Source organism: Homo sapiens, chromosome 11, assembly GCF_000001405.40.
Source record: "Homo sapiens chromosome 11, GRCh38.p14 Primary Assembly".
NCBI classification, from domain to species: domain Eukaryota; kingdom Metazoa; phylum Chordata; class Mammalia; order Primates; family Hominidae; genus Homo; species Homo sapiens.
Window position 1 is genome coordinate 66,347,630 of NC_000011.10, and position 25,473 is coordinate 66,373,102.

Genomic DNA, 25,473 nt, shown 5'->3' on the forward strand with positions numbered 1-25,473 from the left:
GCCGAGCGCAGCCGAGGCGAGCCGAGGCCAGCCGAGCCCCGAGCGCCGCCCCGCCCGCCGCCCGCCGCCCGCCGCCCGCCGCCCGCCACCGCCCCCAGCCCCCGGCGCGCCGGCTCGCCCCCTACGAGGGAGGAGGAGCCACGGCCCCGCCGCTCGGCCGCGCGCCGTGCAGACGCCCGCCCGCCCGGGCCCCGCCGGCTTCCCGGGACGCACTCCTCTCCCTCCCCGCCGGCGCGCGCACCCTGGACCGGGCGCGCCCTGAACGCGCGGCGCGCTCGGCCGGACTCGGAGGGAAACCGCGGCAGAGCTCGGCTGCAGCGTGGTAAAGGATGGCGCGGGCTCAGCAGAAAGGAAATCAAAACGCTCCCTTCCTTCCGCGGCTTCTTCTTTCCCTGTGTCCGAAGAGGTCTGCGTTGCGACTTACGTGGTAGTGCTTGGAAGGTGCGGAGTAGATGAGAGATAAGTGAATGTGGACAAACCTGTCACGTAGGACGAGGTGGCCGAGTGGTTAAGGCGATGGACTGCTAATCCATTGTGCTTTGCACGCGTGGGTTCGAATCCCATCCTCGTCGGCCCTGTTTTATAGAGGTTGGGGGGGAAGCATCTACATTTTCACATCCTGCCTATTTGGAGCAGCAAGCTGGAGGTGCGAGGGGTGAGGCATCTAAATTTTCACATCCTGCCTGTGGAGCAGCAAGCTGAAGAAAACTGAACTGGGGGTGAGAGTGGAATTCGATCCCAAGTCTCTCTGGTCTTTATCCACCACGCATCTCCTGCCTGCTCCTACTTCAGGTGTCTGTAGCTCTGGGCAGAGGCCAAAGGTGTTTTCTTTCCTTCTAGAAAGAGGGCCCAGGGGTTGGTGGCACGGAAAAGACTAGAACCGGGATTCTGGCCAGTGTGAAGTTGGGGGCCAACGTATGATCTGCAGGAATCAGGGAAGCCCCCCATTGGAGGCATCGCCCTCCCCGTCCGAAGTAGTGGTACTTGTCCTACTCTCCAGCACTTCTCCTAGGGCGGAGACCTTGTGTCCACATGCCCTGCTCCCCAACACACACAATCTCTTTTTTTTTTTTTTTTTTTTTTTTTGAGGCGGATTCTCGCTCTGTCGCCCAGGCTGGAGCGCAGTGGCGCGATCTCGGCTCACTGCAACCTCTGCCTTCCAGGTTCAAGCGATTCTCCTGCCTCAGCCCCGAGTAGCTGGGACTACTAGCGCATGCAGCACGCCCGGCTAATTTTTTGTATTTTTAGCAGAGACGGAGTTTCACCGTGTTAGCCAGGATGGTCTCGGATCTCCTGACCTCCTGATCCGCCCACCTCGGCCTCCCAAAGTGCTGGGATTACAGGTGTGAGCCACCGCGCCCGGCCGCACACAAACTCTTAAGCAGAAGGCTTTGAACATTCCAATATCAGGCCACTATACTCTTAATAAGTATTTGTGGATTAATTCATCTGTGGACTCTTTAGAACAGGAGAGGCCGTGGGAAGGGCAGACACTGCCACTGCTAAATCAATTACCGTATATTACTCAACTTTTTAGGCTGAGCCAGGGAGGCCCCTATAGGGCAGAGTGCTCTGAATCTTGGGATGTCAGGACAGACTGGGCAGGGCTTCAAATAAGGATAAAGTGTTTGTCCCACTATTCCACAGGCAGTAGGGTGCCAAGGTTGTTGAGTTGAAGAGTGATCAGAAAACCTTTATTTTGCAGCCCAGAGCAAAAACACACACTGAGTACCTGGTCTCTGCCAGGAACTGTGTTAGGCACGAGGGATGGGCCTTGGAGGAGACACAGGTATTGTCCTTGAGAGTTTCCACTGGTGACCTTGGCTGTAAAGAGGAGAAAAGTAAGTGCAGATCCTTTCAGCACAGGCCTTATAGACTGGAGGCTCAGAAGTCAGACATGCTGCCATGTGGATTTTCTTTGACCTCCTCAGTGTTTTATTTTTTATTTATTATTATTATTATTATTTGAGACAGAATTTTGTTCTTCTTGCTCAGGCTGGAGTGCAATGACGCGATCTTGGCTCACTGCAACCTTGCCTCCTAGGTTCAAGTGATTCTCCTGCCTCAGCCTCCTGAGTAGCTGGGATTACAGGAGTGCACCACCATGCCTGGCTAATTTTTTGTATTATTTTTTAGTAGAGATGGGGTTTCATCATGTTAGCCAGGCTGGTCTCGAACTCCTAACTTCAGGTGATCCACTCACCTTGGCCTCCCAAAGTGTTGGGATTACAGGTGTGAGCCACTGCGCCCAGCCCTATTATTATTATTATTATTTTGAGACAGAGTTTCGCTCTTGTTGCCCAGGCTGGAGTGCAATGGCTCAATCTCGGCTCACTGCAACCTCTGCCTCCTGGGTTCAAGTGATTCTCCTGCCTCAGCCTCCGGAGTAGCTGGGATTACAGGCATGTACCACCATGCCCAGCTAATTTTGTATTTTTAGTAGACTAGGGTTTCTCCATGTTAGTCAGGCTGGTCTCGAACTCCCGACCTCAGGTGATCTGCCCACCTCGGCCTCCCAAAGTGCTGGGATTACAGGAGTGAGCTACCAAGCTCAGCCAGTGTTTGTATTTTCAGTGGACAAGTTTTTTACTTCCTGGGTTAATTTTTTCCTAGGTATTTTATTCTTTTGTATCCTATTGTAAATGGAGTTGTTTTCTTAATTTCCTTTTCACGTTGTTCATTGTTAGTGTATAGAAATATAACTGAATTTTTGTTGTTGTTGTTGTTGTTTTGAGATGGAGTTTCGCCCTTTCACCCAGGCTCGAGTGAAGTGGCGCGATCTTGGCTGACTGCAACGTCTGCCCCCCGGGTTCAAGCAATTCTCCAGCTTCAACCTCCCGAGTAGCTGGGACTACAGGTGCATGCCACCACACCCGGCTAATTTTTGTATTTTTAGTAGAGACGGGGTTTTGCCATGTTGGCTAGGCTGGTTTCAAACTCCTGACCTCAGGTGATCCACCTGCCTCAGCGTCACAAAGTGGTAGGATTACAGGCATGAGCCACTGTGCCCAACCAGAATTTTGTGTGTTAACTTTTTTTTTTTTTTTTTGAGGCAGAGTCTCACTCTGTCTCCCAGGCTGGAGTGCAGTGGAGTGATCTCACCTCATTGCAACCTCCGCCTCTTAGGTTCAAGTGATTCTCCTGCCTCAGCCTCTCTAGTAGCTGGGACTACAGGCGTGCGCCACCACACCCAGTTAATTTTTATATTTTTAGTAGAGACAGGGTTTCACCATGTTGGCCAAGCTGGTCTTGAACTCTTGACCTCGAGTGATCCACCCACCTCAGCCTCCCAAAGTGCTTGGATTACGGGCACGAGCCACTGAGCCAGGCTATTGTGTGTTAATCTTGAATTCTGCAACTTTGCTGACTTTATTAGCTCTAAAAGTTTGTGTATGTGTGTACGTGTCTGTGTGTGTGTGTGTGTGTGTCTCTGTGTGTATGCATGTATTCCTTAGGATTTTCTATATATGTATATATTATGTCATCTGTGACTATGAATAGTTTTACCTCTTTTTCAGTTTGGTTAACTTTTGTTTCTTTTTCTTGCCATTTTTTTTCCCACCCCAGTGCAGAAGTTCATTTCTTGCCAAATTGCTCTAGCTAGAACTTCTAGTACAATGTTGAGGAGATGAAACGGTGAAACCACGTATCCTTCTCTTGTTCCTGATCTTTGGGGGAAGGCTTTAGGTCTTTCGCCATTAAGTATGATGTTATTTGTGGATTTTTCATAAATGCCCTTTATCAGGTGAAGGAAGTTTCCACCTATTCCTTGTTTATTCAGCATTTTTATCTTGAACGAGTGTTGGACTTTGTCACATGCTTTTTATCTTGAACGAGTGTTGGACTTTGTCACATGCTTTTTATCTTGAAAGCGTGTTGGATTTTGTCACTTGCTTTTTGTTCATAAATTGAGGTGATCACTTGGTGTTTCCTCTTCATTCTATTAATGTGGTGTATTACATTGATTGATTTTCTTTTTCTTTTTTTGAGACGTTCTTGCTCTGTTTCCCAGGCTGGAGTGCAGTGGAGCGATCTTGGCTCACGGCAACCTCTGCGTCCTGGGTTCAAGTTATTCTCATGCCTCAGCCTCCGGAGTAGCTGGGATTACAGGCATGCGCCATCATGCCTGGCTAATTTTTGTATTTTTTAGTAGAGATGCCGTTTCACCATGTTCGCCAGGCTGGTCTTGAAATCCTGACCTCAAGTGATCTGCCCGCCTCGGTCTCCCAAAGTGCTGATATTACAGGCATGAGCCACCACACCCAGCCTTTCTTTTTTTTTTTTTTTTTTGAGATGGAGTCTCGCTCTGTCACCCAGGTTGGAGTGAGTGGCGCGATCTTGGCTCATGGCAACCTCTACCTCCCAGGTTCAAGTGATTCTCCTGCCTCAGCTTCCTGACTAGCTGGGATTACAGGTGTGCACCACCACAGCCAGCTAATATTTTTTGTATTTTTAGTAGAGACGGATTTCACCATGTTGTCTAGGCTGGTCTCAAACTCCTGACCTCAAGTGATCCACCTGCTTCAGCCTCCCAAAGTGCTGGGATTACAGGGTGAGCCACCGTGCCCGGCCACACTGATTGATTTTTGTATGTTAAACAATCTTGCATTTCTGGAATAATTCCTACTTGGTCATGGTGTATAATTCTGTTAATATGTTGCTGGGTTAGGTTTGCTAGTATTTTGTGGAGGATTTTTGCATCTATATTCATATGAGATACGGTCTGTAGTTTTCTTGGGATGGTCTGTATATTAGTTTGGCCTCAGGTCACATAGAATGAGTTGTAAAGTGTTTTCTATTTTTTGGAAGAGTTTGAGAAGGATTGTTGTAAATTTCTTTTTACTTTGCACACTACACTGTTATAGGATTGTTGTTAATTCTTTTTGTTTTGTTTTGTTTTGTTTTGTTTGTGACAGAGTCTCGCTCTGTCACCCAGGCTGGAGTGCAGTGGCATGATCTCGGCTCACTGCAACCTCTGCCTCCTGGGTTCCAGCGATTCTCCCGTCTCAGCCTCCAGAGTAGCTGGGATTACAGGTGTGCGCCACCATGCCTGGCTAATTTTTGTATTTTTACTAGAGACGAGGTTTCACCATGTTGCAGGCTGGTCTCAAACTCCTGACCTCAGGTGATCTGCCCTCATCCGCCTCCCAAAGTGCTGGGATTACGGGCATGAGGCACCGCGCCCAGCCGGATTGATGTTAATTCTTTAAGTGATTGGTAGAATTCACTTGTGAAGCCATCTGGTCCTGGGATTTTCTTTGTTGGGAGGTTTTTGATTACAGATTAAATCTGGTTACTTGTTATAGGTCTGTTCAGATTTCCTGTTTCTTCTTGCATCAGTTTTGGTAGTTTGTGTGTTTTCAGGAATTTGTCCATTTCATCTGATTTGTTAGCATACAGTTATTCATAGTATTCTCTTATAGTCCTTTTTACTTCTGGGTAAAGGCATACCTCACTTTTTTTTTTTTTTTTTAGATGGAGTCTCGCTCTGTTGCCCAGGCTGGAGTACAGTGGTGCAATCTAGGCTCACTGCAAGCTCCACCTCCCGGGTTCACGCCGTTCTTTTGCCTCAGCCTCCCATGTAGCTGGGACTACAGGTGCCTGCCACCACGCCTGGCTAATTTTTTTGTATTTTTAGTAGAAACGGGGTTTCATCCTGTTAGCCAGGATGGTTGCAATCTCCTAACCTTGTGATCCACCCCCCTCCGCCTCCCAAAGTGCTGGGATTACAGGCGTGAGCCACCACGCCCAGCCAGGCATACCTCACTTTATTGCACTTTGGTTTATTGCACGTCACAGATAATTGCATTTTTTTTTTTTTACAGATTGAAGGTGGCGGGTTCCTGTAGTCCCAGCTACTCAGGAGGCTGAGGCAGGAGAATGGCATGAACCCGGGAGGCAGAGCTTGCAGTGAGCCGAGATCGTGCCACTGCACTCCAGCCTGGGTGACAGAGCGAAACTCCGTCTCAAAAAAAAAAAAAAATCAGTAAGTGTTGTGTGTGTGCTGACTGCTCCACCGACTGACTGTTCTCCCCTTCCTCATACCTCCCTATTTCCTGAAACACAAAAATATTGAAATTAGGCTGATAATTCTATGTTGGCCTCTAAGTGTTCAAGTGAAAGGAAGAGTTGCACTTCTCTCATTTTAAATCAAAAGCTAGAAATGATTACACATAGTGAGGAAGGCATGGTAAACACTGTGATAGGCTGAAAGCTAGGCCTCTTGTGCCAAATGGTCAGCCAAGTTGTGAATGCAAAGGAAAAGTTCTTGAAGGAATTAAAAGTGCTACCCCAGTGAACACACAAAAGATAAGAAAGTGAGGCCGAGCGTCGTGACTCACGCTTGTAATCCCAGCACTTCAAGAGGCCAAGGCAGGCAGATCCCCTTGAGCCCAGGAGTTTGAGAACAGCCTGGGCAACATGGCGAAACCCCGTCTCTACTAAAAATACAAAAAAATCGCCAGCCATGGTGGCGCATACCTGTAGTCCCAGCTACTCAGGAGGCTGAGGCGGGAGAATCACCTGAACCCAGAGGTCTAGGCTGCAGTGAGCCATGATCATGCCACTGCACTGGAGACCTTGGAATACGCTGATGACTTTGAAGGGTTCAAGACTTCAGTGGAGGAAGTAACTGCAAATATGATGGAAATAGCAAGAGAACTAGAATTAGAAGTTGAGTCTGAAGATGTAACTGAATTGCTGCGATATCATGAGAAAACTTGAATGGATGAGGAGTTGCTTCTTCTGGATCATCAAAGTGGTTTCTTCAGATAGAATCTACTCCTGGCAAGGATGCGGTGAACATTGATAAATGACAACAAGGATTTAGAATATTATGTAAACTTAATTGATAAAGTAGCTGTAGGATTTGAGAGGATTGACTTTAATTTTGAAAGAACTTCTACTGTGGGTAAAATGTTATCAAACAGCATCGCATGTTAGAGAGAAATCTTGCATGAAAGGATCAATCAGTGCAGCAAATTTCATCGTTGCCTTATTTTAAGAAATTGGCACAGCCACCCCCATCTTCAGCAACTACCATCCTGATCAGTCAGCAGCTATCAACATCGAGGCAAGACCCTCCACCAGCAAAAAGATTACAACTTGCTAAAGGTTTCAGGATTATGACTTACTGAAGGTTCCGGTGATCACTAGCATTTTTAAGCAATAAGGTTTTTTTTTTTTCTTTTTTCTTTTGAGATGGAGTCTTGCTCTGTTGCCCAGGCTGGAGTGCAGTGGCGAGATCTCAGCTCACTGCAACCTCCACCTCCCAGGTTCAAGTGATTCTCCTGCCTCAGCCTCCCGAGTAGCTGAGATTACAGGCACGCATCACCATGCCCAGCTAATTTTTGTATTTTTAGTAGAGACGGGGTTTCTCCATGTTGGCCAGGCTGGTCTCAAACTCCTGACCTCAGGTGATCTGCCCTAGCCCACCATGGCCTCCCAAAGTGCTGGGATTACAGGTGTGAGACACCGCACCCAGCCACAATAAATATTTTTAATTAAGGTATATACATTGTTTTTTAGACACAATGCTATTGCATACTTAATAGACTACAATGTAGCATAAGCATAACTTTTTTTTTTGAGACAGAGTCTTGCTGGAGTGCAATCCTGCGATCTCAGCTCACTGCAACCTCCGCCTCCCTGATTCAAGCAATTCTCCTGCCTCAGCCTCCCGAGTAGCTGGGATTACAGGCACCTGCCACCACGCCCAGCTAATTTTTGTATTTTTAGAAGAGACAGGGTTTCACCATGTTGGTCAGGCTGGTATCAAACTCCTGACCTCAGTTGATCTACCCGCCTCGCCTCCCAAAGTGCTGGGATTACAGGCATGAGCCACCGCGCCCGGCCAAGCATAACTTTTATATGCACCGGGAAACCCCAAGTTATTGCAATATTTGCTTTATTGCAGTGGTCTGAAACCAAACCTGCAATATGTTTTAGGTGTGCCTATAATTGGTAGTAATATTACCACTTGCATTTCTTAGTATTAGATTTTAGTACCTTAAAGGCTTCTCTCTATTTTTCTTAGTCAATCTAGTTAAAGGTGTGTCAGTTTTGTTGATCGTTTCAAAGAACCAACTTTTGGTTTCATTAATTTTCTCTATTGCTTTTTTCCCTCCATTTTGTTTGTCTTTAATCTTTAGTATTTCTTTCCTTCTGCTACCTTTGAGTGTAGTTTGCTCTTCTTTTACTAGTTCCTTAAGTTATTTATTTATTTATTTATTTTTGAGACGGAGTCTTGCTCTGTTGCCAGGCTGGAGTGCAGTGGTGCAATCTCGGCTCACTGCACTGCAACCTCCACCTCCCGCGTTCAAGTGATTTTCTTGCCTCAGCCTCCCAAGTAGCTGGGACTACAGGGGTGTGCCACCACGACCAGCTAATTTTTGTATTTTTAGAAGAGACAGGATTTCACCATGTTGCCCAGGATGGTTTCAATCTCTTGACCTCGTGATCTGCCCACCTTGGCCTCCCAAAGTGCTGGGATTACAAGTGTGAGCCACTGCGCCTGACCCCTAGTTCCTTAAGTTCTAAAGTCAGGTTATTGTTCTGAGATCTTCTTTTTTAACGTAGGCATTTATAGCTATAAATTTCCCTCTAAGCACTGCTCTTACTGCATCCTGCAAGTTTTGCTATGTTGTATTTTCGTTTGCATTTATCTCAAAGTATTTCCTAATTTCCCTTTTGATGTCTTTGACTCATTAATTTTTAAGAATATGTTGTTTAATTTTTACGTATCTGTGAATTTTCCAGCTTTTCTTCTGTTGTTGATTTCCAGTTTCATTCCACTGTGATCAGAAAAGACCCTTTATATGATTTCAGTCTTTTAAAATTTATTGAGACTGTTTCGTGACCTAACATAGGATCTGTCCTGGAGAATATTTCACAAGCACTTGAGGTTATATATTCTTTTGTTTATAGGTAGAGTATTCTATATATGTCTGTTGTGGTTTTGGATCTAAAGTGAGTCTCTTATAGACAGTTTATAGTTGAATCACTTTTTGTTTAATTAATTAATTTTGAGACAGGGTCTTGCTCTGTCACCTAGGCTGGAGTGCAATGGCACAATTACGGCTTACTGTAGCCTCTACTGCCTAGGCTCAATCAATCCTTCCACTTCAGCCTCCTGAGTAGCTGGGACTAAAGGCGCACGCCACCATGTGTGCCTAATTTTTAAATTTTTTGTGTAGACATGAGGTCTTGCCATGTTACCTGGGTTGGTCTCAAGCTCCTGGGCTAAAGTAATCTGCCCTCCTTGACCTCCCAAAGTGCTGGGATTACAGGCGTGAGCCACTGTAATCCCAGTTGAATCATTTTTTTTTTTTTTGAGACGGAGTTTCGCTCTTGTTGCCCAGGCTGGAGTGCGATGGTGCCATCTTGGCTCACTGAAACCTCCACCCCCCGAGTTTAAGCGATTCTCTTACCTCAGCCTCCCAAGTAGCTGGGATTACAGGCATGCGCCACCATGCCTGGCTAATTTTGTATTTTTAGTGGAGATGGGGTTTCCCCATGTTGGTTAGGCTGGTCTCGAACTCCCAACCTCAGGTGATCCGCCCGCCTCAGCCTTCTAAAGTGCTGGGATTGGCGGGGCGCAGTGGCTCATGCCTGTAATCCCAGCACTTTGGGAGGCTGAGGCGGGTGGATCATGAGGTCAGGAGATCGAGACCATCCTGGCCAACATGGTGAAACCCCATCTCTACTAAAAATGATACAAAAAATTAGCCGGGCGTGGTGGCGGGCGCCTGTAGTCCCAGCTACTCAAGAGGCTGAGGCAGGAGAATGGCGTGAACCCGGGAGGCGGAACTTGCAGTGAGCCGAGATCGCGCCACTACACTCCAGCCTGGGCGACAGAGCGAGACTCCGTCTCAAAAAGAAAAAAACAAACAAAAAAATTAAGTGCTGGGATTACGGGCGTGAGCCACTGCGCCCGGCCCTAGTTGAATCATTTTTAAAATCCATTCTTGAGCCAGGCACGGTGGTTTATACCTATAATCCCAGCACTTTGGGAAGCTGAGGCAGGAGGATTGCTTGAGCTCTAGGAGTTTGAGACCAGCCTGGGCAGAGAGATCCTGCCTCTAAAAAAAAAATTTTTTTAAATCCATTCTGACAATCTTGCCTTTTAATTGGAGAGTTGAGTCAATTCCATTTCAAGTAATTACTGAGGCTGGGCGCAGTGGCTCACGCCTGTAATCCCAGCACTTTGGGAGGCCAAGGTGGGCACATCACTTGAGGCCAGGAGTTTAAGACCAGTCTGACCAACATGGTGAAACCCCGTCTCTAATAAAAATACAAAAAGTAGCCGGGTGTGGTGGTGCACACTTGTAGTCCCAGGTACTTGGGAAACTGAGGCAGGGGAATTGCTTGAACCTAGAAAGCGGAGGTTGCAGTGAGCCGAGATCACACCACTGTACTCCATCCTGAGCGACGGAGTGAGACTCTGTTTAAAAAAAAAAAAAAAGTAATTACTGATAAGGAAAGACTTACTTGTGCCATTTTGCTATTTGTTTTCTACGTCTTGTATCTTTTCGTTCCTCATTTCCTCCATTAATGCCTTCCTTTTTTAAAAGATAGGGTCTTGTTCTGTTGCCCAGACTGAAGTATAGCAGTGCAGTCACAACTTGCTGCAGGCTTGAACTCCTGGCCTCAAATGATTATCCTGCCTCAGCCTTCCAAGTACCTAAGACTACAGGCATGTACCACCATGTGTCTTGCTATTTTATTTTATTTTATTTTTATTTTTGTGGAGACGGAGTCTTGCTATGTTGCCCAGGCTGGTCTCGAACTCCTGGCCTCAAGGGATCCTCCCGCCTTGGCCTTCCAAAGTGCTGGGATTACAGGTGTGAGCCACCACACCTGGACTTCTTGAGTCTTTTATGAGCATGCATCTTGCCCTGCATGTATATGGCTTTCTCAATTCCCTCATATTTGAGGGAGCTTTTCAGTTCCCCAGAGAATGTCTCCCCACCTTTTCCTTACAACCTTTCAGCTTGTCTGTTGTTCATGTAAACTGTAATCTTTGCTCTGGACAGCAGAGGTTTGTTAATTTGCCTTTCAGTGTTTTGGAGAACTGTCCTCTTAAGTAGAAGCTTTTCCATCTTGAGAGATTTCTGAGTCAGGCAAAACAAAAGCGAATGTCTGGCATCCATTCTTTAGGTAGTCCCCAGACAGGTCGGAACTAATAGATACAATCCTTTGAGAACAAAGTCTGCTTTGCTCCCTTGAGAACCAAAGGCTAGGGTCCCACAATGGGAATGCCATCTTCACACCACCACTAACTCAGAAGGGAAATGGGGCAAGGGCAGGTAAAATACTGCAAAACTCTCATTATATTAAGTTGCCACTTTCTTGATTCAGCACTTGCTTGGTTGTTGTAAATCTTTGATTATTTTCCAGAGTTCCGACAAAGGTTGTTCCAACAGTCGTTGCTCATGTTTTCCGTTTTTTTTTTTTTTTTAAGGCACAGGCCCTTGGAGCTGTCTGTTTTACTACTTTTGCTTACATTCTATTAATATTGAGCCCCATGGAACCTCAGTTTATTCATCTGTAAAATGTGGTAGTGCGCAGGGCTTCTACTTCACAAACTCTGGGGCTGCAATGAAAAGGGAGTCCAGGCCGGGTGCAGTGGCTCATGCCTGTAATCCCAACACTTTGGGAGGCCAAGACGGGCAGATCACTTGAGGTCAGGAGTTCAAGACCAGCCTGGCCAACATGGTGAAACCCCATCTCTACTAAAAATACAAAAAAATTAGCCGGGCATCATGGCACGTATCTGTAATCCCAGTTACTCAGGAGGCTGAGGAATAACTTGAACCCAGGAGGCGGAGGTGGCAGTGAGCCGAGATCGCACCTCTGCACTCAAGCCTGGGTGATGGAGCAAGACTCTTATCTCAAAAAAAATAAATAAATAAGGGGGAGTCTAGCCAGGTGACCTCAGTCAACAGTAGTTTGTTCAAGAAACCTTGAGAAGAAAGAAAGAGAGCAAGAAGAACAAGGATGCCACCTGGCTCCATCTAGGATATCATGATGACTCTAGTGACCACAAAGCAATTCCCCATTCTATTATGTTGTTGACCCTGCCTGTGACCTTGACCCTGCCTATGACCTATTCCTTCTAATGTGCCAGTAACCTCGAGACAACCCCCACTCATGTTGTGGCTTCATTCTCCCAAGAGAGATGATCTGATTGGTTCCTCTCATCAGGGAAGCTGGACCGGGCCACCTCATAGGCTGCTGGCCAGTCAGTGAGTGGCTGCCATTGCTCAGACCCCAGCCCTGGTCCAGTCAGCCCTGGCTAGAGATGCCATTCCCATACAAAGCAGGGCGTGAGGGTTAGGTAGGGGGGCCTCTGGGGCCACTCAAAAGGGGCCAAACTCTGACAACATGTGGCATGTTGAGGCAGGTGGAAAAGCAGATCACAAATGTCAAATGCTTTTCATGTAGTAGAATTCTTTTTTTTTTTTTTTTTTTGAGATGATCTTGCTCTGTCACCCAGGCTGGAGTGCAGTGGCGCAATCTCGGCTGACTGCAGCCTCCACCTTCCGGGTTCCAGTGATTCTCCTGCCTCAGCCTCCCAGGTAGCTGGGATTACAGGCGCCTGCCACCATTCCCGGCTGATTTCTGTATTTTTTTAGTATAGACCAGGTTTCACCATGTTGGCCAGGCTGGTCTCAAACTCCTGACCTCAAGTGATCCGCCCACCTTGGCCTCTCAAGGTGCTGGGATTACAGGTGTGAGCCACCATGCCTGGCCTCACGTAGTATAATTCTAACTACCAGTCTCCTCTTCCATAAAAGGGTCAGCAACTTGAGGGTAAGGATGTCTGTCTCCACTGAGCCCAGCTCAGTGCCCTGTGCAGTGCGAGTGTTTGCTGATGGAAACTGGCTGCTTCTGTGGGAATCCGGGCCTGTCGGCAGAGCTGTAACAGGGTGGGCAGGCAGCAGTAGCTGGGGACTAGGCATCAGGCGAGGGGCAGGCAGGTGTAGCCAACCAGTCCAAGAATTTGTTTCCAACATCAAAGCCCCTGCACCCTGAGCTGATGAAGTTGTGCTGGGTCTACTGGGAAGGAGGATGGGAAGACGGAATCCCAGGTTGTGACATCATGATCCTGAGGGGTAAGTGTCCTCTTTTTGGGCCCCATCCTCCACTGCCCAGCCCGAACCTGGGCTTGCTGTGGGTGACGGGTGGCCCCAGTGGGTTTCCTGGGACTGTCTGGCCTGGGAGGTGGGCAGGTGGGTGTCTGCCTTCCTGGTCCCAGGTGGATCTGGCAGGTCTAGGGAGCTTTTTTTTTTTTTTTCTTTGAGGCAGAATTTCGCTCCTATTGCCCAGGCTGGAATGCAGTGGCACGATCTCGGCTCACTGCAACCTCCGCCTCCCGGATTCAAGCGATTCTCCTGCCTCAGTCTCCCAAGTACTGGGATTACAGGCATGCGCCACTACGCCCGGCTAATTTTGTATTTTTAGTAGAGATGGGGTTTCTCCATGTTGGTCAGGCTGGTCTCAAACTCCCGACCTCAGGTGATCCACCTGCCTCAGCCTCCCAAAGTGCTGGGATTATGTGAGCCACCGCGCCTGGCTTCTAGGGAGCTTTTAGGTACAACGGACAACAGTTGTACTCTCCTCTGAAGGTAGAGGAGAAGGAGACTCAGCAAGTGTTGGGGTCCTGCCTCCAACAGTCCCAGAGAGCACAAGTAGGCCTATTGGTCTTGCAAGAGACTCCAAGACTCCAACAACCGTTTCCCTAATATCATCAGAGGTGGTACTTTAGTTCCAACCTCACTCCAGGACTCTAGCTCAGGCAGGTCATAAAGAAAAGGGCCTGGATTTGACCTAGGACTCTGGCTCAGCATGCATGCACTTATCCACGAGGTTAGCTGGCCTCCATAGAGGCAGTCTCCCTCATATCTCCTGTATCAGTCGTCCTCTCTAAGCCACTGTCTAGGCCCCATCACCTCCCCGCTGGACTGCTGGGATCAACTCCTCTGTGGCTTCTCTGCTTCTGCTCCTCCTCCACCTCAGACTAGCAAACTCATATTCATCCCTCAGGGCCCAGCTGGGGAAATACCTCCTCTGGAATGGCTGCCCTGACTTCTCAGGTGGAATCAGTGGCTCCCTCGACATGCTTCTGCAGGGCCCTCACAAGACGTATCACAAGTTATATTTGGCTTCCTGTGGCCTTGGGAGCGGGGACTGTGTCTCCTTTGTTTCAAAGTCTCCAGACCAGGCAGGGCCTGGCTCGGGGCAGCTGTCTGTGAACAGTGCTCAAAGGAATGAATCCTTCCTTGGGGTCTGCCCTGTGGCTTATTTCAGCAACCAAGGTCATATCTTGCCTGTCTTCCTCCTTGATGCCAAAAAGCCCCTGGCTTCTGAGCAGGTACCCTGTGCTGGCTGAGCACCTAATATCTAATAGGTGCTCAGTGAATGTTCACAAAGGCAGGTGGGCAGAAAACCCTTGCTTTTCTCTGGGACGGGCAGGGTAGTATAGGTGTGTGGTGAAGCAGGCCTTTCCTCCATCCGTGTGTAGAATTGGTGGGGTCGCCAAAGCCCTGCCCACACTGACTGCCTCTCTAAGGCCAGATTTCCAAGGAGGAGCTATCCTGGGGAGGCAGAGGATGCTGGTGAGAGCCCAGGGGCTCATGGAGTGGGAGAGCAATAGTTGTCCATCCAACTAGGTGCTCTGCCCAGGAGCTCAGGATTCCTTGCAGGTCAGTACCCCCCAGCTATCATGTGGTCCAGAGGACCCAGCACAGAGATGCCCACCAATCCCTACCCCTCTCAGGGCCTCAGTCATCCCACCTGTCAAGGGGGTACAATCTTTCCGACCCCACCCAGTTCACTGAGGCCAATAGAGCCAACAGCACTTCGGAAATAAAGACTTGGTGAACGCATCATACAAATAAATGGGGTTATTAGACCCAAGAGCAGGGTCAGAAGGAGAAACAGCAAAAACGGGGAGTAAGTGCCCAGGCTCCTGCCCCAAACCCCTTGAGGAAAAGAGAAACAGGTGTTGGGCAGGAAGAACAGCACCAACAGGGAGGAGAGAGAGGGGATTGGGTCCCGGCTCTACCACGGACCAGTCACTTTCCCCAGGACTCAGTTTTGTCACCTGTATAATGGGGGAAGCACAATCCTTGCCTGACTCCTTCCAAGAGCCTCAATTAGGCTTCGGTGAGAGAGTGGGTATGGAAGAGCTTTGCAAACTGTAAAGTGCAGTACACACATGCAGGCTAGCTGTGGCCCTGGGGCCCAGGCCCAGCTGGGCTCTGCGGAGTGGGTACAGTAAGTGTTGGCAATGAAAACACTGCTTGAGGCTGAGCCTGGCCCTTTGAGCACCCTCAGGTCCTCCACATCTGTTCCTCCTCTCAGGTGCCCACAACTTCCCTGGCACCTTTTACCCTGGGTGGCTGAGGCCTGGGAAGATGAGGCGCTCCTGGCCTGGGCTGGCCCCGCCTCCCACTCTGAACCCTCTGGTCACCTCTGCTCCTGATGATGATGAACAAATGCAGACCTGGTGGTGGGGAGCAGCCGTGCCCTGCACCCTCTTTTCCCTAGTCATCACCCTTTCCATGAGGTCTTGTGCGAGTCACCCCCATTCCTGGGTGAGGGTTAGAATGACCGGTGGTGATTTCTTCCCCACAGCACTCCAAGTGGATGAAGAGCAGCTCCTGCCCGCTGCTGGCAGCCTCAGGCCCAGGGGCCTCCACCCCGCAGAGGCCTGAGCCAAGCTCGCCATTCGCCCTGGGCTGGATCTCAGCTCCGGAAGGAGACGTCGAGAAGAGGCTGCCAAAGAGCCTGGAGGGGCCACTTCAGAGCAGCGCCTTGAAGAGGAAGGAGAGGGAGGCTCCACAGGAAAGTCCCAGGGCCAGGAAGAAGGTCATGAGGGCGCCGGCCACCTCCCTCTCGTGTGGCAGCACCTGCCTAGAACACCCGGGAACAGGAGCTCTTAGAAAATGCTGGGTCTAAATCTGGACCCAGCTCCACTGCCCTCTGCCCATCCAGTCTGGGCTCTGACCCAACCCCTCTGTCACCATAACTGGCCCCTTCTTTCCGGGCCTCAGTTTCCTGGTCTGTAAATGAGGCTGCTGGATAAGGATGTCTCTCAGGGCCTCTGAGTCTAACATGATGGGATTCCAGATTCCACAGCCTGCCCTTTCCACAGTGCTCTCAGCCTGTCTGCCCTGCCAGCTTCATTCTCTCTGGATTCTCCACTCCATTGCCCCTTGAGGAAATAGCCCATGACCTTGTTTTTGGTCAAAACCTTAGCTCTCCTTCAACTGAGAATTTTACAGTTAGATGGGCCCTGAGGGATGACAGTTCAACCCATTTTTTTTTACAGATGGGGAAACTGAGGCACATTGAGGCGGCCCCAGAACCAGTGCCTGGGCTACTTGGTTGGGCGGGTACCTCCCTAGCCCAGTTCTCTCCCCTGCAGTTAAGGCTTGGCCCAGTAGGGGGCGCCAGCAAGGCCTGCAGACAGCTAGGGTTGGGCTGGCCAGAAGCAGGATGGGCCGTCCCTCCATTGCAGGCGGTCCCTTCCCAAAGACTGAACCCACCTCCCTACTCCCAGCCCCCCACCCCACCCCATTGCCCCGGACCTGGGCGCCAGGCACATGGTGAGGGACACCAGGTAGCCATTAGAAACGGCAAAGAGCAGCATGAAGGTGATGAAGTAGGCATCCTGTGGGAAGAGGATGGGCAGCCGGGACCTCTGGGGCACGTGGCACAGCATGAAGAGGGGCACGAACAGGAACCGCAGGCAGACCAGCAGGGGCAGCAGCCGGCTGTCCTCGTCTGGCTGTGGTAGAAGCTGAAGTCAGCATGGTCCCTGGAGCCAGGTCTCTGCTCCAGGGCATCTCAGGACACCCATAGAGTACTTTTTTTTTTTTTTTTTTTAGATGGAGTCTCGCTCTGTTGCCCAGGCTGGAGTGCAGTGGCCCTGATCTCAGCTCACTGCAACCTCCACCTCCTGGGTTCAAGAAATCCTCCTGCTTCAGCCTCCTGAGTAGCTGGGACTATAGGCGCCTGCCACCACCATGCCCAGATAATTTTTATATTTTTAGTAGAGCCAGGTTTCATCATGTTGGCCAGGCTGGTCTCGAACTTCTGACCTCGAGTGTTCCACCTGCCTCAGCCTCCCAAAGTGCTGGGATTACAGGCGTGAGCCACCATACCCGGCCTCTATTTTTTTCATTAAAAATTTGTGTGTGTGTGTGTGTACAGACAAAGTCTCACTGTGTTGCCCAGGCTGGTTTTGAACTCCTGAGCTCAAGCGATCCTCTTGCCTTGGCCTCCCAAAGTGCTCGGATTTTAGGGGTTTTTTTGTTTGTTTGTTTTTGAGACAGAGTCTCGCTCTGTCTCCCAGGCTGGAGAGCAGTGGTGCGATCTCGGCTCACTGCAGCCTCTGCCTCCCTGGGATTACAGGTGTGCACCACCACACCTGCTAATTGTTATCTTTTTAGTAGAGACGGGGTTTCACCATGTTGGCCAGGCTGGTCTCGAACTCCTGACCTCGTGATCCACCCGCCTCGGCCTCCCAGAGTGCTGGGATTACAGGTGTGAGCCACCGCGTCCAGCCCCAGAGTGCTAGGATTATAGGTGTGAGCCACCACGCCTGGCCCACCCATAGGATAGACCCATCTGTCACCCCCTGACCTCCTCTGACCTGACCTACCTTGTGAGCCAGTGAGGGAGGACCCAGCACTGGGGCCTGGGCCAAGTCCACCCAGAAATCAGGGACTGGCCTGGGGCTCACCTCTGCCTCTCCCAGGCTCCAGCTTGTGCTCTCCACCGCATCTACAGTTTACGTACTCGGTTCCTCAGAGCACCCACTGGTGGTTCCACAGACCCCCTTGGGGGCAGATGGGGTTTCTGAGTGGGATTGGAAGCTGTAGATCAGCTCCTGTCCTGACTTGGATGAGACCAGCTCCTCTTTCACCTGCGTTATGTATTGTCTCTTTGGAAGATTTCATTTAAAGATACAGTACCATGGCTAAAACCAACCCCAAAACTAAGACTCTTGCTCAGTCCCTCACCTGGTGCAGGAACCTCCATGTAACATTCTCTGAGCAGCAAAGGCTGGATGCTGGGGACACAGAGGTCAGCTGGACATGATTTTTGCTTTCAGGGAGCTCACAGTGCAAGCCCTGGCCTGCACGCCTCCAGGGCCCAAGTGCTCCCTGCTGCTTGGCCAGTGGTTGCATTACCAGGCCATTTGGACTACCAGAAAATCACCTCCATGCTCTTTCAAGCCCTCGGATCCCAAACTGCTTCCTAAAACATCGGATCACCCAGCCCTGGTGTGCTTACCCACAGGAAGTAAGAGGTCAGGCTCCGTCCCAGCCAGTCCATGATGTTGAAGAGGAGGAAGCAGCAGATGGGGTTGAAGAACTGACCTGGGAGGGAAACGGCTGCAGCTCATACTGGTCTCCAACTCCCCTCTCCCGTCCTCTCCCCTTTGTACCCCCTGCCCTGCCGTCTTCTCCACCCTGACACTCACTCCACTTCCCAGGACTGGTGGAGCTGGTCACCATGGCTGTGATGGCGGGGAAGACGGACAGGGTGACTGTGAAGACCAACACAAGGCACAGCGCTGTCAGCCAGATCTGGGAGCCAGAGGCAGGGGTGTGAGCAGGCAGGGCAGTCCCAGGGCCCCACCCTCTTGCCCAAGCCCCATGTGGGAGCAGGACACTTGGGGCCTGGCCCAGCTGTGTCCCTGACCCACTGTGACCCTATGACCTTGGAGTCAATGTGAGCCCCATTCTTCCCCAAAGATGGTGGTTGGGGGCTGTATCCAAGCCAAACCTTCTGGAAGACAGTGAAGACTGAAGGTTTTCCTGGCTTCTGGGGCTCATCTGGCTCTGATTCCGGCTCCTTCTCCAGGTCAAGATCCAGGGTCAGAGCTACTTTCTGGGGACTACTGGGAATCCCGTTCTCATCTGGGGTGAGGGGGGACGGGGAAGGGTCATGCTTGTGACCCAGGTTTCCCGACAGCCAGGCCCAACGAAGGGAGATTCCCAGCAGTTAAAACAAGTGATCCTCAGCTCAGCATGGTGGCTCACGCCTGTAATCCCAACATTTTGGAAGGCCGAGGCGGGCATATTGCTTGAGCCCAGGAGTTCGAGACCAGCCTGGGCAACATGGTGAATCCCCATTTCTACAAAAATAAAAAAATTAGCCGGGCATGGCAGCCTGCACCTATAGTCCCAGCTACTCGGGAGACTGAGGTGGCTCACTTGAGCCCAGGAGGTCGAGGCTGCAGTTGAGTTGTGATAGCACTGCAGTGCAGCCTAGGTGACAGAGTGAGATCCTGACTCAAAATAACAACAACCCCCTCACCCCAAAACAAAAAAAGGTGATCTTCCTCCAGCCTAAGCTGAGGCTGCAGGCGAAGGGAATTCATGATGGAAATATGCATAGCTACCAGGAAGCGCGTGCATGGGTCGGGTGATGAGCGAAGCACCTTAGATGGATTATCTCATTACCATTGCTTTACAAATGACACATTGAGGTTCAGAGGGGTGCAGTGGCTAAGTGGTTTGTCTCAGGCCACACAGCTGGGATGTTGTGAAACTAGTATTCCAATTCAGAGGTCTTCGGATCCAAAGTTTGCATGCATGGAACCTCTGTCGCCTCCCCATTTTATAGAGGTGGAAACTGAGGCCCAAACAACAGCAGGGATGACTTTAATCCTACCAACTTCCCTTCATGATCTTCCTGTTTGCACAAGGCTACTAGGGGTGGGCTCTGGCTGGGAACAGATGGAACAGCTTCCCAGGGGAGGTGGCTCTAGCTTCCTCTGCATCTCCCACCTCCCCAGGAGGGTCTCAGGGCTTACCAGACTGGAGGAGCTCAGCTTTGGTCTCCAGCTCCTGAGCTTGGGCCTGGGATGATTTATTGGCCAGGTAGTAGCGGGCAAACTTCTGCAGAAGGACAGGAAAGTGTTGGGCCTGCCTGGCTTGCCTGAGGTGTCTGGATCCCTCCCCATACCATTGGCCTGGAGGCTGGGGCCCCTCAGTGTCTTCTCTGGGGGTCAGGGCTGAGACCAGGTCTCCTCCACCTCCCCTGGCCTCTCTCAGGGCCTCAGGCTCAGGACTCTATCCAAGATGCTTTGAGGTGGGGCCTCGAGCCCAACAGCAGGCTCACCAGGTGAGGCAGGCTCAGGTAACACACGATGGACATGAGGATGCCCACACAGGGCGTGATAAAGTACCCCAGGGCAGAGGTCTCGGCGTCCACGCCACCTGCGGAGGAACTTCAGCTGCAGAAGAGAGGCACCTGGTCCCGCCGGCTCCCACGGGGCTTCCAACTCTTGTCCCACTTCCCATTGTGTACTTCTCAGACCCACTCCCAGCCTCTTCCGCTCCTCCCTTCACTGACAAATGGGAATCTTGTACAGGGCCCCAGAGCAGCCCTGCACTTCTCTCACTTTCCCCATGTGTCATTTTTGTTGAGCACGTACTATGTGCCAGTAGCCTTCTCTCATTGCATGCTCATTACAATCTGAGCAGGGAGCTATACCAATCACGTCGGTGGGGAAGCTAGCACAGAGAGGTGACAAGCCTTGTCCAACACCCCTAGCTGGTAAGCGGTGAAGCAGATTCAAACCCAAGACTATCTGAATCCCAAACCCATCCCCTTATCCTTCAACTTCAACCTGCTGCCACATGCCAGTATTAGCCCCAGGAATCCTGCCCCTGTCCCTGAGTTAACCCAGTCCTCACTTGGTTATTACTCCTCACTGCAGGGCCCATGAGCCCCACTCCCTAGCCCCAGACCCAATCCCCATTTCCATATCACCTGCTTACCTCCATCTTCACCCAGAACCCATGTGTCTTGCTCTCACATGCCCTCTCTCTTCCCCAAACCTCAGAGGCCACCCCAGCCCTCCAGCCACCCAAGTGCACTCACTGGCCATGGACAGGAGCATGGCAAGGGCAGCAAAGATCCCAGCCAGGCCCTGGCCGCTGAGGAAGAGGGTGCTGTAGGTGGAGGGCATGGTGCCCAGCTGCCCGAAGAGGCTGCCCTGTAGGACTGCACTGAAGGCTGTGGAGGACAGGGATGGGGGCTGCTGCTCAACTAGGCAAGACTCAGAGGCTCCCTGGAGGAGGTGCCGGCAGGATACACAGGGGACTCTGGACAAGGTTGCGCAGGTGTGAGCTTCCCTAGGGACTCTGAGCACTCGGGGGCAACACCCGCTATTCAGTCCTCTTCTGAGGTGCAGCCATTGGTCTGTGGGGCTGTTGACCAGGAGGCCTGCTCCTAGGTCACCGGACAAGTGACTCTTCCCCTCCCTGTGGGCCTCAGTTTCTTCACCAGGGATATGAGCGACCATGATGCTGTCTGCCCTTCTCGGATATGCTGGGCCCTTTCAATGATGAGGCCAGGCTGAAGCCCTGCATAGGCTGGCTGGAGAGGGGGTGGAGGTGCTCACAGTTGATGAAGCAGACGGAGGCCATGGTGATGGAGAAGAAGGGTCCGGGGCTCATGTCCACCTTGACCAGCGCTGCTGTCAGGGCAAAGAGCAGCAGTATGGCCAGCAGGCTGCCCAGAATGCGCACCGTCTCCGGGACGCTGCTCAGAAGCAGGCAGAGTGCATCAGTGGGGCCCAGGCCAGAGGGGGCTGGGGAAGGAGGCTCGACACCTGGGGCTGGGCAGTAGGGCTGGGGGGCAGGGGGCGCAGGGGAGGGCCTCAATGAAGCTGCCTCGGCAGAGGGCGCAGGAGCCAGGGCAGGCCTCTCACCACTGGTACAGGAAGGAGTTGAGGAGGGTGAAGAGCAGCAGGGGCAGCTGGGACAGCAGCGTCACCCAATTGTTGAAGTTGAAGGCATCCTCGGGACCCGTGTGGTTGGTGCTCAGGATCCTGGCTGTGCTGTTGCCGGCCCCGGCCAGTCGCGCCTGGAAGTACTGCCAGGTGGGGAGGTGGTGGAGGGTCAGCACCTCTCAGCCTTCCCCCGCTGCCTTCCCCCTCACTTGTGATTGCTTTCTAATGTCTGTGGGGACTTGTCTGCCTTGTCCTTGTTCTGTTCCCAGCAGCCGGCACACAGTCGGAGCTCCATGAATGTGTGCTGAGTTAAATGGCTGAAGTCTGGGACACAGCCTAAGCATTAAGAGCCCCCAGCAAGAGCCTCGATCCAGCCTTGGACGGCCCCTCCTCTTCAGTGCCCTGGTTCCAGCCCCCATCCCCACTCCTGCAGCAGCTGCTACATTCATTCATTCCACGGGTATTTATTGAGCGCCTACTGTCAGCCAGGCTTTGGCCTAGGTGCTGAACAACTGCATTCTCTCTAGAGCACATAGCCTGCCACTCCTCTGCTTAACCTCCTCACTCCTCAACACCCCGATTCATGCCTCCCTATTGCCTGCAGGGCAAAGCCCCAAATGGAACAGCTCTTCAGAATCAGATCCTAGTCTCCCTTTGTGCCCCATCTTCTGCTCCATCCTGCTAAGCTCCAGGCAGCCCTGGCTGTGGATCTCCCTCTAAACAGGCTGATCGTCTCTTGCCTGCCTGCCTTTGGCATGGCTGTCGCCTCGGCCTGGAATGCCCTACTGACCACACCCCTCCACATGCACTTTGCCTACCCTACTCCCAATTTACAAATCTCCTCTTCCATGAAGCAGAAGGAACTTTCTCCCTCCCCTGGGGACCCACTGCACTCTGCTGCAAGCCTGGAATGTCACGCATCATGTTACATTATTAATAGCTCTTTGGCCCCCTCTTGCTCTCAAGCCCAGGGGCTGATTCATCTCTGGGTTTCCAGGGCCCAGCACAGAGCCAGTACCCAAGAAGCATTTGCAAAGTTGTTGCAGTGAATACAGATGAATAACCCGGTCCCAAAGACAATGCAAACCCCACATTTCTGCCTTCCCTGAAGAGCCTCCCTGCTGTTTCCTCCTGTGTCCCCAGTGCCTGCTCCACAGTAGATGCACATTAAAAGTTTGTTGAATGAGGCTGGGCACGGTGGCTCACGCCTGTAATCCCAGCACTTTGGGAGGCCGAGGCGGGAGGATCACGAGGTCAGGAGATCGAGACCATCCTGGCTAACACGGTGAAACCCCGTCTCTACTAAAAATACAAAAAAAAATAGCCGCGCGTGGCGGCGGGCGCCTGTAGTCCCAGCTACTCGGGAGGGTGAGGCAGGAGAATGGCGTGAACCCGGGAGGCGGAGCTTGCAGTGAGCCGAGATGGCGCCACTGCACTCCAGCCTGGGCGAAAGAGCCAGACTCTGTCTCAAAAAAAAAAAAAAAAAAAAAGTTTGTTGAATGAATGAGTGAATGAATGAAATTCATGGTATTTCAAAGAAAATCAAACGTTCGATAACCGACTTTTGGGGTGACTGACTCAGGAATAACGACACACAGAGAGGGGTGGCAGCGCCTTTGCTCATTCCAGACCCTGTGGGCTGGTGGCCTTGCCCCTCTGAGATGTGGGCATTGCTGAAGTTCTACTTTCCTAGCCACGGGGGAAGCATTCCCCTCTCCGAGCTTCAGCCCATAATGAGCTCAACGAGGGGTCACAGGTGCGCGGTGAGGAAGCGCCCGCTAAGCTTCATCCAAAGGGCTGGAGGGAGGGGTGCTGGCTGTGGCCACGAGGCTGCCACGCCGCCAGGAGTCTCACCGGGATGGCGGTGATGAAGAAGTTCCAGGGAAGGAGGGTGCCCAGCCCCAGGATGAAGAAGCTGATCCCGACCAGGTGGTAGCTGTGGGGATCGGTGGGAAGGTCACCCCGAGGACGCACCCGCCTCCGCAGGCCCTCCCGCCTCCCAGGCCACCCCCTCCGGAGCGGACTACAACCCCGATCACCCCGGTTCCGGCGGCCGAGGGAGTCGGCTGATGGGAATTGTAGTTCGATCCGGTCTTCTCTGAGCCTCGGAGCGCCTTCAGGGAGCGGGTCTGCAACGCCCCCGGCCACTTGCAACGCACCCGGGCCCACTCACCTGTCCCGCGGGGCGTCTCCTCGCGCCATGGCCGCCGCGGCGGATGCGCCTGGGGTGAAAGGGGCAGAGAAGCCGCACCTGCACCTGCGCTGGGGCGGAGGGCCGCAGACCGGTGGGGCGGGGGGCGGGTCTCCCCAGATTCCGGTGCAGGGCGGCTGGAGTCGCACAGGTAGCCTCGGGCGGATTTCGGCGTGTCTCGCGCTCCGCAGGCTGGGACCTGGGCTCCGCCCCGAGGCGGGGACAGAGGGTCGCGCCACCCGTCTCTCCTTCCCCCACCCGCCTCAGGGACTCGACTCTGGCTCGGGCCCCGCCCCACCTAGGGGCCTGCGGAACCCGCCCGCTCCCCGCACAGCCCCTCCCCGCAGCCCCCCGTCCTCTCCGCGGGGGCGGGTCCCGGATCCCTGCGGCGGAGGGGAAGGCGGGGGTAGGGACGAGGTGTAACCTCACCTCCACCCCCCGCCGAGAGCTCTGTAGGGGCAGCACTGGTGCGGGGCTCTTCCCGCTTCGTCAGCTCCGAGGTGATGCCAGAGCCGCTCCTGCGACCCCTAAAGCTGGAACCCACCGGGGCGCCCCCTAACTAGGGAGCCGCTGCGGAGTCCCCGCCCAGAGCGTAACCCGAGCCGGGCCCGGGCGGGGGAACCAGAGCTGCCACAGGTCGCCCGCGATCCTGGCGGGCTTCGCCGCGCTGGGTCCCCGGGAGTGCCTGGAAAAAAACAGCATTACTTTCAACTCCCTACTCTTTTTCTGTTAAAAAAAAAAATTTGAAAAGACTATAAATCATTAATTTGCTCCTACTCTCATAATCTACGAATAGGTGTGGGTTCTCTGCAATCCCCGGGCGTATCGGGGACGCTGGAGAAGTGAGAGGCTCCAAAACACAAACTAGTTTTTTTGAGACTGAGTGTCGCTCTGTCGCCCAGGCGGAAGTGCAGTGGCGTGATCTTGGCTCACTGCAACCTCCCCCTCCCAGGCAGGTTCAAGCGATTCTGGTGCCTCAGCCTCAGGAGTAGCTGGGACTACAGGCGCATGCCACCACGTCCGGTTAATTTTTGTATTTTTAGTAGAAACGGGGCTTCACCAGCTCTACTGAAGAGGTGGCCAGTCTAGTCTCGAACTCATCTTTTGACCAGGCTGGTCTCGAACTCTTGACCTCAGGTGATCCGCCCGCATCGGCCTCCCAAAATGTTGCTATTACAGGCGTGAGCCACCACGCCCGGCCACAAACTATTTTCTTAAGCAATGACATTTTATAGCCATTCCCAGGTTGCTTATGTTTTTCCTCCAGCCGACTGAGAGTCTGTAGGGGCAGAGGCTGTGCTTATCTGGTCCATTGGTTTACTGGCAGCATCTAGCGCCGTTGAGTGATAAATGGGTGGTTGCAGTAAAATGCAGGTGATTTTAGGGAGAACAGAGACAGCATTAAATTACACCGAAAGAGAAAGTTATTCTTCCCATTTTCTTTCAAGCCTCTGAATATGTCAAGGGTGTTAACAGGTTGCTAACACTTCTTAATCTGCCTTCCCATCCCTTCCCCTCAGTT

At 52.0% G+C, this 25,473-nt stretch overlaps 1 protein-coding gene, 1 long non-coding RNA gene and 1 other non-coding gene across 12 annotated transcripts, besides 3 other annotated features; 2 read left to right on the forward strand and 1 right to left on the reverse strand.

The window, feature by feature from the left end:
• Positions 44 to 633: a silencer, noted in NCBI's record as "silent region_3589". NCBI's record gives its function as "represses an Ori minimal core promoter by ATAC-STARR-seq in GM12878 lymphoblastoid cells {active_cell/tissue: GM12878}" and the evidence as "EXISTENCE:reporter gene assay evidence [ECO:0000049][PMID:35858748]".
• B4GAT1-DT (B4GAT1 divergent transcript) lies at positions 362 to 16,135 on the forward strand. The gene is made up of 2 exons (NR_135761.1): positions 362 to 441; positions 15,640 to 16,135. It is a non-coding gene; the product is annotated as a B4GAT1 divergent transcript (long non-coding RNA).
• Positions 491 to 572, forward strand: TRS-GCT3-1 (tRNA-Ser (anticodon GCT) 3-1). The gene has a single exon. It is a non-coding gene; the product is annotated as a tRNA-Ser (tRNA).
• Positions 660 to 1,160: an enhancer, noted in NCBI's record as "H3K4me1 hESC enhancer chr11:66115760-66116260 (GRCh37/hg19 assembly coordinates)". NCBI's record gives its function as "activates a minimal SCP1, AML or CMV promoter by ChIP-STARR-seq in primed H9 embryonic stem cells {active_cell/tissue: H9 hESC(primed)}" and the evidence as "EXISTENCE:reporter gene assay evidence [ECO:0000049][PMID:30033119]".
• Positions 14,892 to 24,817, reverse strand: SLC29A2 (solute carrier family 29 member 2). 10 transcript variants are annotated; one of them, XM_017017632.2, is made up of 14 exons: positions 24,729 to 24,817; positions 24,381 to 24,636; positions 23,934 to 23,982; positions 23,615 to 23,696; positions 21,740 to 21,903; positions 21,431 to 21,570; positions 20,908 to 21,042; positions 20,143 to 20,240; positions 19,835 to 19,919; positions 18,802 to 18,935; positions 18,497 to 18,602; positions 18,307 to 18,392; positions 16,596 to 16,795; positions 14,892 to 15,918 (listed from the first exon to the last, which is right to left on the reverse strand). In XM_017017632.2, exons 3-14 carry the CDS (start codon positions 23,960 to 23,962, stop codon positions 15,807 to 15,809), a joined length of 1,371 nt encoding a protein of 456 aa, XP_016873121.1. In that variant the 5' UTR covers positions 23,963 to 23,982; positions 24,381 to 24,636; positions 24,729 to 24,817; the 3' UTR covers positions 14,892 to 15,806. The 10 variants fall into 10 exon arrangements, 9 of the variants coding, with proteins under 9 accessions (XP_016873121.1, NP_001287797.1, XP_047282818.1 ...); NM_001300868.2 differs by having other exon boundaries at positions 23,934 to 24,017; XM_047426862.1 differs by having other exon boundaries at positions 23,934 to 24,150.
• Positions 23,827 to 24,586: a silencer, noted in NCBI's record as "silent region_3590". NCBI's record gives its function as "represses an Ori minimal core promoter by ATAC-STARR-seq in GM12878 lymphoblastoid cells {active_cell/tissue: GM12878}" and the evidence as "EXISTENCE:reporter gene assay evidence [ECO:0000049][PMID:35858748]".
• Positions 24,818 to 25,473: the final 656 nt, after the last annotated feature.